The 17,896-nt window shown below is 45.1% G+C and overlaps 1 protein-coding gene and 1 long non-coding RNA gene across 2 annotated transcripts in view; one reads left to right on the top strand and one right to left on the bottom strand.

Annotated features, from left to right (window-relative positions):
• LOC105369506 (uncharacterized) overlaps positions 1 to 17,896 on the top strand; it is a 95,796-nt gene that overhangs the window by 42,741 nt on the left and 35,159 nt on the right. The gene's annotated exons all lie outside the window — the stretch shown is intronic.
• The window catches only part of NXPE2 (neurexophilin and PC-esterase domain family member 2), a 349,427-nt gene continuing 347,854 nt past the window's right edge, over positions 16,324 to 17,896 (bottom strand). The window contains exon 7 of the mRNA XM_017017212.2: positions 16,324 to 16,671. Coding sequence (XP_016872701.1) covers positions 16,663 to 16,671 — 9 coding nt within the window. The 3' untranslated portion in view covers positions 16,324 to 16,662. The remainder of the gene's footprint in view (positions 16,672 to 17,896) is intronic.

Here is a 17,896-nt window from a genome sequence, read left to right as displayed (position 1 = left end):
CGAGGGAGTGTGCCATGCAATATCCAGGTAAGGGGCATTTCAGGCAGAGGAAACAGCAAGTGAGTGCAAAGGCCCTGAAGAGGGAATATGCCTGCCATGTTTGAAAAATAATAGAATGCCAGTGTAAATGGGGGAGAATAGAGGGGAAATGATGTTATAGAGGTAATGGGGGTAGGCAGGGCACATAATGTCCAGCCCTGTCTGCCACTATGGGCTATTCCAAAAACCATGGCTTTTACTATGAGTGAGATAGACGTCCTGGGGGTTTAAGCAGACAAGCGGCATCGAATTTACAGCTTAGCCAGACCTCTCAGATTGTGGTGTTGAAAAGAGACCACAATGAATTAGGGACAGAAGCAAGGAGACAAATTAGGAGGCAATAGCACTAATCTAGGCAAGAGGCTCCCACCTAGCCCTGGAGTCCTTCTTACCTCCAGCCCATTCTTAGCTTAGGTGCCAAGATCATCTTCAATCACAGAGAAGATTGCATGAGTTCTGCACGTTCCACCGGAGGACACACGAGGCCTCCCTTTCAAGCTCACCTCTAGTCACTCCTCAGAGTGCATCCTGCCTGCTACCCCACACGCCTATGGACATGCCATGCTCTTTTCTCCTTTCTGCCTTTCCTACAGACTCTTCCCTTTGATTGGAAAGCATTTCATCCTTTCTCCACCAAATAAAACCCACTCATCTACCAAGTTCCCACGAAGCCTTCCCAACTCCCTAGACTAAATGCATTACTTCCCTGGCAATATCTGTGCCATTTTGATATAGAATCCACTAACCACATGTGGCTCTTGTGTACTTGAAATATTTCTAGTGCCATGAAAATGATAACATTTTGGATTTATTGAATTAAATAAAATTTATTTTTTACCTGTTTCTTTTATACCTTTTTAAAAAGTAGCTACTAGAAAATTTTAAATTACTTTTGTGACTCACATATTTCCCGACAGCACTGGTGATAGTATTTTTCATACTTTTTTTTTTTTTTTTTGAGACAGAGTCTTGCTCTGTCAAATCTCGGCTCACCACAACCTCCACCTCCTGGGTTCAAGCAATTCTCCTGCCTCAGCCTCCCAAGTAGCTGGGATTACAGGTGTGCACCACCACGTCCAGCTAATTTTTGTATTTTTAGTAGAGATGGGGTTTCACCATATTGGTCAGGCTGGTCTTGAACTCCTGACCTCATGATCTGCCCACCTTGGCCTTCCAAAGAACTGGGATTACCAGAGTGAGCCACCATGCCTGGCCTTTATACTTTAATGTAGCTACTGAATGCATGTCTATCTCCTGCACTAGAGTATGAACTCTTCTGGTGGGGACATTCTTACTCCTCTTTGTGTTCAAAGGCCTTTGAATGGGGTCTTGTCCATGAGAGAATCCCCCCAAAAGTGTGCTGAATAAATAAATTAGTGCTATACGAGAAACACAGAGTTACCTGTGGCCAGGGAGGATTTTGACTAATGGAAAAAGAATACACAAGACAGTAGGATCACAGGAAAAGCAAGTGTGTAGAACCTAGGAATCTCTAAAAGCATGGGAAATCAGTAGAGAATGTGAATTAAATGGTTTGTCTGGAATTCAGGGACTGTGGAAAAGAAAGATGAAAATGTCTGTGATAGGCAAATTGTAAGAGCCCTCCAAGGCCAGAATGAAGGGTCAGACTTCTTTCTGGAAGCAGTGGGGAGTGATTGAAGATTTGTGAGCAGGAACTAGCAGCTATTACCATATAGAATGCAATGGTCACAAATAGCTGACTTGTAGTTTCATAGGCACCCAATTTATCAGTGTGAATTATTTGCATTTATGCATTTGATTTGTTTGCTTGATCTGAATGCTTGGGGTTTTTAACCCCAATTTCAGAATCCCCAGGGTAACCCTTGCTTGTATTCCCATTCTCGATCTCAAATCCTCTAGGCCCAAACCTTTTCCAGGGAAAGGAGAGAGCCTAATTTCCCTGAGGATCTTCCCTGCTGAAGTTTACTCTTTGCTCCCTAGGAGGTGGCTGGAGGAGCCCTAGAGAATCAGGTTGGAGGTTTCCAGAGTTTTTCCAGGCTGTGGACTCAGAGCTTTTGTTCCTTTGAACACAACTGCTATGGAAACAAGCGAGGAGTTGGCCACAACACCCAGCTCCAAGCTTTGATCTGGGGTTGCTGGGCCCTTTGATGCATGTGTACCAGAGCCAGCCTTGGGGGATAATTAAGGCATTTTTGATAACGAGGTCCAATTTGCTTTTTAATTATAATTTTTCCCAACTTATTTTTTTTTTAAGTTAACCACCTAGGTTGGTTGATTGAAACTTGTGTCACATGTGATGGAAGAAGAAAAGAATGAGATTTAAATCTGAGTTCTCATTCTTTATTAGTAGCTGAAAGCAGAAGCCCGCGTAGTAAGGTTAAATCTGGAGATGGGAGCCGGGTCCCAGCTCTTGACAGCAGACTGAACAGCTAATAAGCAAGCCTCCTTGAGGACACCTGGGAGCCTTGGATCCGAACATAAAATCCCAGGAAGTCAGCACAGGATGGGGTTTGAGATATTTTTGTCCGACATTGTCATTCTATAGATGTCATTCCAAATCCAGAAAGGAGAAGTGACTTGTCCAGGACCGCACTTGCCATCTAATCAGGACATGAGTGTCCTCAGACTTTCCAAAATGGACATAACAATAGTTTCTCTTTGCATGTTGTTCTATGCCCTCACCTTTTTCTCAAGGATCCTTATGCCAATCTGTGAGCTAAGTGGAGTGGTATTAAGTGTCACCTTCTTTTAAGAATCTGCATTTCCAAGTGGCTCAGTATTTGCCTGCAGTCAACCGTACGTGGCAGGGCTGGGAAATGTTTGCAAGGCCATGATTTTTCCATTTCTCTGTGCAGCCCTCCTGTGCTCTCATTAACAATTCAGTCATTCATCAAACACTAGCTGAGAGCTCAGGCGCAGACCCTGTGCTAGTGGTTTTCTTCTACACGCCCCAGCCTCTTTCCTGCAAGCCTGATCTGCCTTCATGGGGGTGATTACGTTTTTAGCCATAGGAAGAACATGGTCTGGCTTGAGTTGTAGGAAAATGTCTTTGGTAGAATTTGAAAGGCGCCTTGGAGAGGGTAGAGCCTAAAGGCAGAGAGACAAGCAGGCTAGGAGAGGAACGAGGAGGCCTGGAATGCAGAACTGGCAATGGGAACTGAGAGATGGAAGGGTGGCTTTGAGAGAGTTTTCAATGTAGAATGTGGTTTCTGGGAATAGAGAACAGTTTAAAGAAATCTGAGATTTTATAGTTTAGTTACTGAGTAAGTTTTAACAGTGATAACTACTAGGAGATTAAAGAAAGAGCTTGAGGTGCCTGTGAGTCATTCAGGTCGAAATGTCTTGTAATTAATTAAATGCACCTGTGAGTGTAGAATTGCGGCGAGAAGGGAGACCTGGAGTTGTCAGAGTGTTGATGACAGTGGCCCCCAGGGAAAGTGAGACATGTAAGAAGAGGGCTTGGGGTGGGCTCTCAGGGTTCATCACTTCATGCCTCAAAGGAAACACTAAAATCTGTGTTGGAAAGCCCTGGACTTGGATTCTGATCTAGCATCTGCTTCTAACAGACTCATCTAGGCTAAGTCATTAACCCCAGTGTCCTCATCTGTAAAAGCTGAAGGAGAGGATCTGCATGCTTTCTTCTAGCATTGACATCCAGGAGCCTGTGATTTCATCTGCATAAGCAGAGTATTGCAAAATTGCAAAGTCTAGCCCATCTCCCAGTGGGTGAGATCTCCCAGCTGGTGTGAAGGAGGCCCTAGTGGCCCCATGAAGCCACGCTGCTTGGGGCTCTTCTCTCATGGCTTTTCTCACACCTACATGTGGCGCACTGCTCAGGAAAGGCTTTCCTGTGGCTCCCCAGCCTCTACTTCTCTGCTCCATTCTGCCCTCCACCCCAGGTTTTATTACTCAGTGAGTGATGTGTGCCTGGAAACACTTTCTTTATGATTTATTAATAAAAAGCAAGAAGGGAGAAATGGAAGAAACACAAGGTAAGAGACCAGGATTGTATCTAAGTAAAACACTTTTCAAAGTGTCAAAAGGTCTTTGGGGAAATAGGAAAAATAAATGAGTCAAAGTGTGAAGTGAGTGAAAGGCAGGAAACTTTGGCTTCAGGAAATAAGTCCCCAGCAACAGCAATTTGAACAAACAAAACAAAGCAAAATCTGACAAAATGAAAACTAACAATAATCATCATCATATTCCTCATTGTTGTCACTCTCACCATAACAGCTGATATATTATTCTGAGGATAGATTGATCTGAAAATGACCAAGTCATAAGAATAATGGGACAAGGTCAATGAAGGAGGTCCAGGCAGAGTAGATGGTCAGGGCTGGCTACGCTTGTCCCTGGGCCCCAGCAAATGGTGGCCCTGAGTCCCATGGGGCTGGGGGACATCTCCATGGATGGAGGCAATATCCCAGATCAGGCTTTCTTACAGAATCCAAGGTCTTCAGGATCTCCAAACCTTTCCTAGAATTGTCTGCTTTTTATTGAGAAGGAGGAGGTAGCCACCAAGATTGCAAATCTATATGCCCTGTGGGTGAAATTGGGGACAGATGGGGCAGAGAAGGCTGCACACTTTGCAAATCTTTGAGGTTCATTGTGAGATATGAAAAGCAGAGGCAACCTCCTAGAGGCCTTCCAAAGATCACTGCACGTTAGTGATGGCTCTTAGGGCTGAACCTTCAGAGAAGGTTTTAGTGAGAAGAAAACAATGCTGCTCTCTTATTCTGTGCCCCCCCTTTCTGAAGGTCCTCTATTTCAGGAAGTTTCCCATTTTGTCCCACCACCCCATTGCCCTGGCGTTTAGGACATTGGCCAGCCTGGAGGGTATTTCTTCCAGTTAGTTGGCTTTGTAAATGCCCACTCCCGTGGTTTTGTCCATGTTGATTCCTCTACCCAGAGCCCCTCTCCACTTTTGGCCCTAGCTCTGCCTTCTCAAAATGCTACCTGTCTCCAAGTAGTAGTATTCAATGCCTCCAAGTGGAATTTTTCCTGCTTTGCTCTACTTTCATTGTGCATATCACATTCATGAATGTTTTATGAATATTTGTACACATTCAAAACTTATCCTCCCTACTAGACCACAAACTCCTTGAGAGATGGAACTTTGTCTTATTTATTTGAATAATTATTGGAACAGGGAGCCTAGGAAATCTTCCAGCTATAGGGGTAGGAAGTGAAAATGAAGAAAGCTATATGCATTCCCAGCCTCAAGAATCAAAGCTCAGCAAACTGAACTAGGTGGCCTAAAAAGCCTGCTCATCCTTCAAGGCCCAAGTCAAATGTCACCTTGTTCTTAAATCCTTACTAGATATTTTCATTTGGAAACGGACTTTTCCTCGCAGATTTTCTGTGAAGAGCATGAATGCTGATAAATATTTCCAATGTTCCTTCTGGACATATGGTCAGATTGTACTTCCCTGGCCCCTTTGAAGTTCTGTGTGGTCATGTGACTTGCTTTGAACAATAAAATAAGAGCAGAAATTGTTTGTGTCACTTCAGAGTGGAAACTTTAAGAGCCAGTGCAAGATTTATTGTATCCTCTTTCTCCTACATCAGCAATCATGGAAACACAGAGATGGGGTTCTCCTAGGGCTGGAATTCTTAAATGAGAACACCATAGAGCAGAATATTTCTGTTGGCCCATGGTAGAAATAGAATGAGAGCAAGAAACAAACCTTTGGTTCTTATATGATGCCGAAATTTGGGAGCTGCTTGTTATTGCAGCATAATATAACCTATCCTGTCTGATACATCATAATACTTCCCAATATTAAATTATTTGTGGAAATGTCATCACCTTAATAAGTTGAACATTGCTTCATTCATTCATTCATTCATTCATTCAATCTTTTACTTATCCCCAACAATTACAGTTGCCCCTTGGTATCCACTAGGGATTGGTCCCAAGACCACTCCCCATACCCCACAAATACTAAAATCTGCGGATGCTCAAGTCCCTGATTTAAAATCACAGATTATTTGCACGTAACCTACACACATCCTCTTATGTACATTAAATAAATTTTAGATTACCTAATATAATGTAAATGCTACATAGTTGTTAAACTGTATTTTCATTGTTGTGTCATTTTTTGTTATTGTTTTCTTTCTGAATATTTTTGATTCAGCTGGTTGAATCTGGATGTGGAACCTGCACATGGAGGGCCAACTGTATTTATAGGGCCCCATCATATGTTAGGCACTGCACTAGTTGCCTGAGATTGTACAATAATGAAAGTGTAGTATCTGTCCTCCATTGGCTTTTGATCTGGACAGAAGGATGGATAGGTAATCAGGCAGCGTCAGTAAAGTATGATGCAAGTCATAAAGGAAATTTAGAATGCTACAAGACCACATGGGTAGGGCACCTAACCCTTAGAAGTTTGGAAAGATTGAGGAGGATGCTGGAGAAATTTCCATCTAGGTGAAGACTTGAGATAAGTAGGAGTGATCCAGGTGAAGGAACAAAGAGAAGAGGGAAGAGGAGTAGTCCAGGGGAAAGGAACAGCATGTGTGAAGGCAACATGAGCAAGAAAGGACAGGGACCATCCAGAGCACTGCAAATGAGGCAGTGTAGCTGGAGCATGGGGTCTGAGACGGGATGAAGACTGAGGAAGGTGAAGCTGGCCGGGGAATCAGGCTCAGACCTAGGAGAGCCGTGCATGCCAAGTAAAAGACTTCGGACTTTATCGTAAAGGCAATAGGGAGCCATTGAAGGGTTTAAAAGTAAGCGAGTAACATAATCATATTTGTGTTTTAGATTTTAATGGTCATTCTGGCTGCGAGATGGAGAAGGGATTGGAGAGAGGCAGCAATGATCCCCTTGAGGGTACAGTCTGTTTTGGATTCACCTTCATGGCCTTTCCCCTTCCTCTCATGCCAAGCCCCTAGTACTGCATAAGCAGTCTAGAAATGCTAACTGATGAAGAGATGACAGTAAGCATGCAAGTCCTCAACCCTGCTGTGTCTCTTCTCAGGCTCTGAGCAGCCACTCACCTCCGAATGGCAGCCACTTGGAGCTTGGAGATGCGATGGTTTTCAATGCCAGGATTCTGCCATAAGCAAACCTGAGCAAGCCTCAGCCTCTAAATAATAGCAAGCATGTGTTGGGAAGTATGGGCCTGCCCTCTACTGAAGGAGGCAGGGAGCGTGTAGGTACTTCCAGAAGGAAACCAGCAAAGTAGGCCGAGCGCGGTGGCTCACGCCTGTAATCCCAGCACTTTGGGAGGCCGAGACAGGTGGATCACGAGGTCAGGAGATTGAGACCATCCTGGCTATCACGGTGAAACCCCGTCTCTACTAAAAATACAAAAAAAAAATAGCCGGGCGTGGTGGCGGGCGCCTGCAGTCCCAGCTACTCGGGAGGCTGAGGCAGGAGAATGGCGTGAACCCTGGAGGTGGAGCTTGCAGTGAGCCGGGATTGCGCCACTGCACTCCAGCCTGGGGGACAGAGCGAGACACTCTCTCAAAAAGAAAAAAGAAAGAAAGAAAAGAAACCAGCAAAGTAACCAACTGCTGCCCAGGGTGTTACAGGAACACCCTACTGGGCTTTGTCATGCCCCACCTCAATCCAGCTCCAGGCTCTGCTGAGTCTGTGCTCCTCACGGACCCCCAAACTTTGGAGGCAGGTAGGGCAAATGGAGGCTCCTAGTGTCACAACAGAGAGTGAGGTTTTGTAACCCTTGCCAGGCCAAGGTTGGGGTGGGGAGGTACAACGCGCTGCCACCGCAGGCAGAAGAGTTGTGCTTTTCCCTGGGAGCTGGGCTGTGGGCCCAGCCAGGTGCTGCCGAGCGGGAGGGCTGCTCACACTCCAAGAGCCAGGCCGGCAATTCCAGAAGGCAAAACTTCAGTGTATTCCAATTTTCCAAAATAGAAGGAATAAAACAAATCAGAGCAGATGTTCCAACATGTAATTATCAACTAATCAGTTTGGACTTTTTTTAAAAAAGGGAAATTTCAAAATAGCTCCCAGATTTCATCAACTGCAGCCCTGGTGGAGACTGGCCGGGTTGGAAAGGAGTTACTGAAGAGAGCTGCAGGTGCCCAGGTGGTGGGGGAGGGGAGATGGGGGTGGGGTGACGGGGCACAGGTGCTTCTAGTGCTGGGACTGCTGCTGCTGCTGCTGCTGCTGCTGCTGCTGCTGCTGGGTTCAGCAAGGAGGGAGCAGCTCTAGGCTGCAGGTGCCAGGTTGAGGCAGCTGGGCCTCAAGACAAGCAGCTTCCCTCCTAGAAACACTGTGAGCTGGGATGAGTCATCTCCCGGCCTCATTCTGCCCCAGATCTTGTCTCTGGCAGACACGTGAAATGGCTCACATGGAAGAACACAAATTGACCACTTTATCCTCAAGCCTAAGGCCTTGGCCACCCCTCAATACCTTCTCTTTCCATGTAAGCCAATAAGACGCAGAAAAGAAACAGGACATGGTCTTGGACGGTCAGCAAGTCTTTGAGCTGTGGGAATCCTGGGCCCCTGAGTTCAGTTCTGGAGTGGGTTCTAAAATCTAGAGATGCAAATTTTCTGTGTAAATGCTGTTGGGACTTTGGAGTGATTCCCTAGTAGCTCATGATGAGAGGAAGACAGCAGAGGAAAAGAAGGAAGAAGGAGGAGAGGAAGAAGAGAGAGTGGAAAGGGGAGGGGGGAGAGAGGGAAAGGAGAAAGACCGAGAGGCTCTCTAGGATTGAAACCCCACGGTGGAATTTATATATTAGATATTCACAATAGAGTGCTAAGATGTTAGACATGGTTTAGAAATGAACACAAGCTTTCTGCTGATCAACACTTAGGTATGTGTAACTAGAGCTCTACAGATTATCTGCACCTTAAGCATGTTTAGTTTGCTGGAATGAGCACTCTATAGTCCCTAGAAACCTTTAGGAACAAAGTGTTATTAACACACATACAGACTTCACAGCTTCCTGCAGAAGGTGCAGAATCCCAGGTTTCCTAACCCAGTGGGGAGCCCGTGGCCCCTTCGTCATTGCTATAATTTAGTTTCAATCTCATTCCCAGGTGAGGACTGAACAGAACAGCCCTCCTAAGTGCCTGCTTTCCAAGAGCCGGTTTCCAAAGACCACACAGGTGGCAAAATGACACAGTGGTCTCAAGTGTGGGCTCTGTTGTCAGGTTGCCTGGGGTTGAGCCCCAGCCTCACCCCTTACTGGCCATCTGTCTGCGGTAAGCTGTTTAACCTTTCTGGCTTCCATCTTCTTGTCTGTAAAATGAAGATAATGACTGTACTTATTGCATAGGGTGGCTGTGAGGTTTGCAGGAGGTAGTGCGCATGCAGGGTTTGACATACACTTAATAAAATGCTGGCCTTTCTGAGCACAGCGTGCCTCCCAATGGCCTGTTTGTGCAGGGCTGGAACTGAAAGGTCATCTTACTGGGAGGAAATGGAAAATGCATTGTGGTTCTGGGGGTCCCCTTCTGAGGAAGTTCCACCCATCCTTGGAAGCCCTTTGAGATCCTTCTGCAGATGCTCCTACACTTAGAATGGAGTTACATCCCAATAAGCCCATTGTAAAGTGAAAATATTGTTAAGTCAAAAATGCATCTAATGCACCTAACCTATTGAACGTCATAGCTTAGCCTAGCCTACCTTAAACATGACACTTACATTAGCCTACAGTTTGGCAAAATCTTCTAACACGAAGCTTATTTTATAAAAATAAAAATAAAATATTGTAATAAATATAAAAGATAAAGATTCCACATTTAAAGTATGGTTTCTACTGAATGCATAATACTTTCACACCATCATAAAGATGAAAAATTGTTAAGTCAGATCATTGTAAGTTGGGGACTGTCCACACATTTTTTAAAATTTTTGAGCCTTTGCACAAGCATTTCGCCTACTGAGAATGCCATTTTATCTCCTTCCTTTACACAAGCATTTCTCCTACTGAGAATGCCATTTTATCTCCTTCCCACCTTTGCACAGCCAAATTCTGTTGACTCCTTGATAACCAAGTTGATGCTCATCTCCTGCATGAAGTCCTCCCAGGTGCCCCACCCCAAAGCCTCTTAGCACTCTCTCAGGATATTTCTTGGTGTTACTTACGACTCTCTAGTTTGTGGTACAGTTATTTGTGTACATGTATTAGCTCCCCTAAGAGACTAAGAGATTGTTGAGGAAAAGCTCTTTGCTGGGTCAACTTGATGAGGACCCCGTCCCCTGTGACTACCACAGGGCCTGCCCCAGGGTAGATGCTCAGTCCATGTTCTTCTGTGCGTTCATGAAGGCAGCTCATATTCTGGATGAAGCCTGGCTCAGCAACAGTGCTATTGAGAGGTGAGGACATGGACCACCCTCCCGACTGAACATTAGACTGAACTGTAATCTTGGGTGAGGCACATGAACCAGGAGACATCAGGGGAGCCATGAGAAATTCTCTTTGCCTTCATAGTTCAGAGGCTTTGGCATTCTGGAAAGAGAATGGTCTATCCTCTGCCTTTTGATTAGAATAACTACATGGACTTTTTTACTCACCTGTTACCTTGTTATTGAGAGTTGGCTTAGCAAAGTGGGTAAAAATAAGCACTTGAATCAGATTGCCTTTGTTTCTATCCCCGTTCCTTTTTACCTGCTTTGCTACCTTGTGCAATCTACTTGACCTCTCTGTGCCTTTTCCTCAACTCTGAAATGTGGAAAATACTACTACTTATCTGTTAAGTTTGTTGTGAAGATTAGATGAGGTAACATATGTGAAGTATTTAGGCAATACTTGGCACATGGTCTTGGCACATGGTAAGTACTCAGTGGTAGTTATGATGACACATCCACAAGACCAAACCACAGAAATTACTGTGCTAGGCTCTCAGGGCACAGATACGAAAGCTGAGAAATCCAGTTTCAAATCCTAACCTTTGCCTACAAGTTCTGTAACTGCAAGACAGGTTCTTAGCTTCCCTGAGCATCAATGCCTCCGGTTTTACATCCGTAAAATGAAGGTTGAATTTGTGATTCCTGAAGGCTTTTCTCAAACTCTATTTTAATAAGTCTGTGGATATTTAGGAGACCAGGCACAAGAAGCAAATGTTAGCTATGCTCAAATGCTGCCTTTGTGTGCCCTTTTCCCACTGTCTATATCTTATTCCTTATCTCTATTTCCCCTTCTCCTCTTCACTCTTCCTTATATAATGTCTAATCTGTGATCTCTCTCTCTCTCTATGTGTCACACACATGCACACACTGAGGCACTCACATGCACACACACGGCTTCTTTTCTTCTTATCACCTCGTTAAATTTCTTTCCTTTCAGGCTCTGCCTCTGATGCACCTCTCAGTTTTTCAGGAAAGCTCAGGGTTAAGGGGCCTGGGCAGGGTGGAGGCAGAAAGGGCTGTGCCCCTGCTCCATCGGTTACCTGCAAAGCTGAGGAAGCTGCAGAGGCTTAGGTTTTATTAGATCTATATATGCCCTGGCTTTCCGTGGGCTGAGCTTCCCTGATGCAGTGAAAACTATGTGGGCTTCACAAGTAGTCAGGGCACTGGAGAAAAAATGAAAAAGGATTTTTTTTACCTTTTTAATAAATGACAAAGAAGGAAGAGAATATTAATAAACTTCAGACCCCTCCCCTTCTCATTTCTCGCCCGGTACAGAACCTGTGCACCCACATGGAGGGGCCACCCCACACATGTGGCCTCCCCCTGTGGTCTAACCAGCAACCTGACCCATAGAAGAAGCTTTGAGATGCTGCCTAGGAACTGTTTGAGGGTTGTTCCTTCTGCAGAAGATCTCTTGCTGTCTCTTTTTCTTGTGCTGCTGTTTCTCTCCAGCTTGTTCTCTGTTTCTGACTCTTTCTCTCTCCCTCGCCCTCTCTCCACCACCCCTCTCTCATTGCTTTCCCAACCTTCACGGAGAGGCTCCAATTAAAGCAGAAATGGCAGTTTGGCTCCTGAGCTGATATCTCTGTTGCTGCAGAAGCTTTCTCAATTGACAGAAATCTTTGGCTTTCTTACCTCTTTATGTGCTATGTTTTGGGGGTGGGGGAATCCCGCAGCCCCACTAAACCCTTCCTGTTCTCCCCCTCTCCCTCTCCTTCCCCAGCCCCTGTTCATGCAGGACAGCAGGATGCTTAGACAGGAGGGCATTTGCAATCCCCCTCAGCTCCTCCACAGCATCCTGCTCCTGCCTCGGTGGAAGTGCCTTCTGCATTGCATTTCAATTAGGTTCTGAAGGAAGCAGCAGAGGTGCCCAGCCTGATTGTGGGAGCCCCCTTCGCCTGCTTGCCTGCTATTCAGAAATGTCAGGTTTTGTAGTTTGGTGTTTTCCAACACTGTTCACTAACGATTACATTTTGTGAACATTACCCTGAAAGGCTGCAGCTGAGCAGCCTTCAGTTTGCCTGCTTCCCCTTCAAGTCCCGACATCCTTAATTGCACCCCTTCCTGGAGATGTAGTACTAGATGAGGGGCCCACATTTCACTGCTCTCTGCAGCTCCGCTGACCCTGTCTCTTCCCTGGAGCCTTGGTTTCCAGCTGCCTGCCATGCAATACTCCAGGGACTGTTCATCCCTCCCAAAGCATCCAAGCGCTAGCTCATTACCTGTTCCCCAGCAGCACATTCAAACTTGCCTCCATCAACCTGCTCTTCCTCCAAAGTGACAGTGTTGCTATCCTCTTACTCTCCAAGTTTAGACCCCAGTCATCTTCAGACTCGCCAACGCTACTTGCCTCCTGGAGTCAGTGGTCACCTTTAAGTCCACCTCTCTCCTTCCCCACTTTCATATTTTCTGTCCTGTCACTGCTGCTGTGGCCTCTGCCTGGTCTCCTTGCCTCACATCCCATGCCACCTTAATCCATGATTTCCTCTACTCCTCAGATTGTTATTCTGAAACCTAGGCTGTTCCTTGTCTATCCCATCCTCAAGAACCTGCAATGGCTCCCTATTACTTATAGATTAGAGTCCAAACCCTTTCAATCTTATGTCTTGCTATGACACTCCCCCACCCTAACTGCCTTCTACCATCCCCCAAAGTCTCCATGTTGTTTAATAGCTCACCATCTGTCTCCATGCTGTCTTCTCAGCCTGGAATTTCCTCTCCCTCAGCCTGTCACTGTGTATCGTCTGGCAATTTATGCTAATAGGATATCTTGCCTGTGAAAGGCACATGATAAATATGTATAGATTGATAGACTCAAATTTAAACATCTTAAAGTTATTAATGTATTTAATAAATATGCATTACATGCCTACGGTGGGTCTGGCACTGTGCTAGACCCTGGGGATACACAAGCCAATACGAATAAACCAAGGCTCCCACAATTGATATCCTTACAATCCAGAGGAATGGCAGAATGGAAAGAAAGGAATTACAGGGCAACATTCATTTGATAAATCATCATTTATTAAATGTCCATTCTATGTTAGGAACTGTGATAGATACTGAAAATAGGGAAATGAGTAAGGCATAGTCTTGACCATGGAGGAGTTTCAATTCTAGTAGGAGAGACTGCCAAGGAAAAGGGAAACACAGCCGGGCATGGTGGCTCACATCTGTCATCCCAGCACTTTGGGAGGCTGAAGCAGGAGGATGGCTTGAGCCCAGGAATTCAAGACCAGCATGGGAAACATAGTAAGACCTTGTTTCTATTTTTAAATAAAACTAAAATTAGCTGGGTGTGGTGGTGCACACCTGTAGGCCCAGCTGCTTGGAAAGCCGAAGTAGGAGGATGGTTGGATTCCTGGAGGTCGAGGCTGCAGTGAACTATGATCATACCACTGTACTCCAGCCTGGGCAACAGAGCAAGACCCCCGTCTCAAAAAAAGAAAAGAAAACGAACAAGGGAAATATGTACTGTGGGATGTGTAGCAGAGATACTTGATACAGCCTTGGGGATTCAGGAGGGAACATCTAAGCTCAGTTATGGGAGGTGAGCAGGAGATGGCCAGATGTGGGAATAGGATAGCAATGGGGAAGCAGTAGAGAGAGTAACAGATGAGCAAAGGCCAAGGAGAGAAAGCAGTTCTGAGAAAGGTAACCCGCAGGCACAGTGCTGGAGCTGGGGAGCTGGGGAGCTGGGGCATGACCACAGAGAGGTTAATAGTGAGAGGGGAAGCTTAAGAACTGAGAAGAAGCCAGAGCAAGAAGGCCTCAGTTAAAGAGTTTGGGTTTTATTCTGAGCATTGAGGAGTTTCAGCAGAACAGAGGTGGGCAGGTTTGCCCTTTAGAACTTCCACTCTACTGCTGTCCTTCATTCCTCATTCATTCACTAACCAATTCATTCAATATATATTGAACACCTACTGCATGCCAAGAGTGTGCTAGCCATTGTGGGGAGGATGAGGATTGGAACTTGGGATTCAGTTTGGAAGCTGCAGCAGAATTCAAGAGAGAGGAGACAGAGGCCTGCAGTAAAGTGATGAAAGGAAGATGGAGAATTTGGGGCACATGTGAGAGTGTTCAGCAGTAGAAACTAGGGTTTCATGATAGGTTAGATGGGGCTGTGTAGGGATAAAAGCTGATAATAATAATTACAACATTTATTGAGTCTTTTCTAGGTGCTAGGCATGATTCCAACCTCTTTATATGCATTAACTTTTTGAATTTTCACAACAACCTATGAGTTCAGCTCTATTATTATCCCCATTTTTTACATAAGGAAACTGAGGCACAGAGAGGTTGAGTGATTTGGCCAAAGTCACACAGCTAGTAAGAAACAAAGCCAGGATTTAAACATGAACAGGAGGAAAAGAGACACATTCCTAATGTGGAAACAGCCTGGGTAAAGGGGACAGGTAGAGGTGGATGTGTCAGGTGGAAAGGAGCAGAAAACATACATTTAATCAGTTTTGACAATTTTAGATAAATCAAAAGTCAAATTAGGTATTGCAGAGACTTTAGGGCTTGGAATGAAGCCATTGGAGGCCACTTCTTCAAATCAAAACTTTCAACAATTTCAGGAGAGCAAACTTAACCTCTGAAAATAGGGGCAGGTTTTGGGGACAGCTTGCTTAGGGGGCCCAATAGTTCTCTGGATCCAGGCTGGAGCAGAAGGGCCCTATTCTTTGTTGGGATGGAACATGCTGAGAAATGTGCTTTTGAATTCTCATTATTTTTGAGTTCTATCATTCATTGTCTTCCTCTTCTGATCAATTCCAGGAAACCTCTCCTTACCATTGTATTCCATCAGCATTCTCGCATGTCCTTGGGTCATGCTGACAAGTCCATTGCATGTATGTTCTTAAAGGGTGTTGTGTATGTATATATCCAAGACTGGCTACATAATTTTCAGATCCCAGTGCAAAATTAAAGTAAGAGGTCCTTTTCTTAAAAGTTTCAAGAAAAACTTCAGGACAGTAACAGCAGTCCCTTAAACTGCGGACTGAGTCCTTCTGAGCACAGGGCACTGAGTGACTACACACCCATGAAACTGGCCCTGCATATATCACTCGCCCAGTTGCATTATACCTGTCTATCTTTAGGGTAAGGACTATGCCTGCTGCCCAAAATTAGTTAGGAGTACCAAAAAACTCACCAAATTTTGGACAAACGATAAGGGAGAAGGGAAGTGAACTTACATTAATAGGTACATACATGCCTAGCCTACAGTAACGGTGTTTTGTAGACAAGTAAATGAAGGCTAAGTGATTTGCCTAAGGTTAATTGCTGCTAATAATGGATGGGCCTGGATGGGCATGCATATTTTTCTGCTCTAAAGCCCATGCACTTTGCAATATACCCTCCGGTAGAGGGATCACTCATATGAAGGGGACCTAAGCTAGACCCATCCCACAACATTTCCACCCCCTTCATCAAACCATTGAAACCATTGAAATGCTCATAAGGTCAAGGAGCTTGGGGCATAATTTTGTTCTTGCTGAACCCCACTTGATCTTACCTGGGTGGCTTTCAATGTTTACAAGAATCAGAAAAACTGAAGTTAGAGATGACCTAGGGATCTAAAATGGGCAGAGAGGCTCAGGGAAGGAACATGTCAACAAGTTCTGACTGATATGTCTTATGTGCCTGGTCCTGTGCAGTAGGCTGCACATGGAGAGAGGTACAGTCAAAGATAGAGTGAGACTCAGGAACAGCGTAAGGTTCTCTTTGCACATTTTGTTAATTGTGCAAGCTGCAAGTTTAATCTTTATATTAAATTTCTGAAATATGCACAGCATAAAAACAGCCCTATCGTAATGGCTTCATGTGGATTTTTGCTTAGTAAAGCAATGGTTCCCAATGTTTTTCTTCTTTCTAATGCTAAAAATACCTTGAAATCTCCCACATCAAAGTAGTTTTTCTCTAAGTATCGATTCATCAAGAAACCATGTAATGACAAAAAGCCATACTTTAAAATGTGTTTTATTCATTGCAACATTTGTAGCATTTGACAGATAATTGCACATAGTATGTATGAGATACATTATCAGTGGAGGCCGGAGACTGTGCAAGGTGCACCTGAAGATGAACTCCCCCAGACATGCCCCATCCCACATGCATGCATGCACATAAATGAACATGCACAGATGAGAAAGCCACTGAGCTGGTGCAAGGAAGCCCACAGTATGGAGTCTTGGCTTGAGCTGCAGCTCGCAGATGCCATCAGATTATGAGCCTGTTCCAAGGGGCGTGTGTTTGGAGATTCCCAAGCTTCTGTTTGCAAACCAGCCTGGCCTGGTCCCTCCTCAGGCCTTCTGTGGACATGGCAGAGAGATGAATGGTCTGATTTACAAGGAGGAAGCTGGGAGCAGCTACCTGAAGATGAGCCCAGACAAACAGATCCTAGAATGAGGGAGACGCCAGAGGGAGGATCTCATGGCAGCTCCTGGGAGGAACCTGTGATTACACCTTTTTGATTATAACCACTGGGTGGATACAGCAGCTTTGTCTAGTGAAGTTAGTCTTCCTGCAGGATGTTTTCCTGTGATGAGTGCAGCAATTACAGTTGATCAGGGCATAAATAGCTATCAAGATTCTCTGGGAGTTGGCATTAATAAGGATGAGTTGAGGGAGTGTGGCCCTGACCCCCAGAGCCCCAGCAGGGCACCTCGCTGCCGGCCTCTCTCCCCAGGGTGCAGCCATAAGCCCAGGAGCTTGGCTATTTATAGTCAGGCTCTGACATCTCCGATGATTTACCTTTCAGATCTCAAGTGTGAGGTCTACTTTATGGAAATAACACAGTACAAACTAATTGCAGGCTTCAAAGTGCATCTATTTTTTTCCCACTTCCTCTTCTCTTGCCACCTTCTCCCCCACCTTCACCCTCACTCCATTCCCAGCAACACCACTATCTCATTTTTTGCAAAGATCAGAAGCAGCACAATGTGATTGGGAAGCTGACAGCCCTGCAGAAGGGCCACCATCTCTATTAAGCCCTGGAAAAGGTGATTCTCTCAAGGGTACCAAAACCTACCAGACCAGGTTTAAGCCCTGAAACTTTGCTGGAAATTTCTTAGGTTTTTGCTCAAAAGCTGGCATGATTCCAACAGAGCATGGTACCTTAGCATCTCCACAGCACCTTAGAAGTCAACCAGTGTAACTTCTAACTCAGATTTCTCCTCTTAGAACTTCCACATATCCATCATTGCTGGAACATTTCTATAAAACTGAGCTTGCCCCTTTCCAGTGCCACCTGCTCTACATTGAAAATAATTCTAATTATTAGAAAGTTGTTATTTTAAACTGTAATTTGTCTCTTTAGATATGCTCTGGGACAGAAGTGAGAACAAGTGATATCCCTTTTCCAGATGCTATCCTATAACCTACCCAAAGATGGCTAAGCTACTGTCAGGCCCTGTCTAGCTCTCAGCCTTTGCTATCCCCCTTTGTCCTCAGCTGGGGCCACTTGATCACCTCTGGACTTAGCTCTGCTCCCAGGCGCTAGGACTAATCTTGGCCTGGGGCAGGAGGAATTTAAAG

Source organism: Homo sapiens, chromosome 11 (genome assembly GCF_000001405.40).
Source record: "Homo sapiens chromosome 11, GRCh38.p14 Primary Assembly".
NCBI classification, from domain to species: Eukaryota; Metazoa; Chordata; class Mammalia; order Primates; family Hominidae; genus Homo; species Homo sapiens.
The sequence above is the reverse complement of the archived record's forward strand: the minus strand, read 5'-3'. Positions and strand labels throughout refer to the sequence as shown.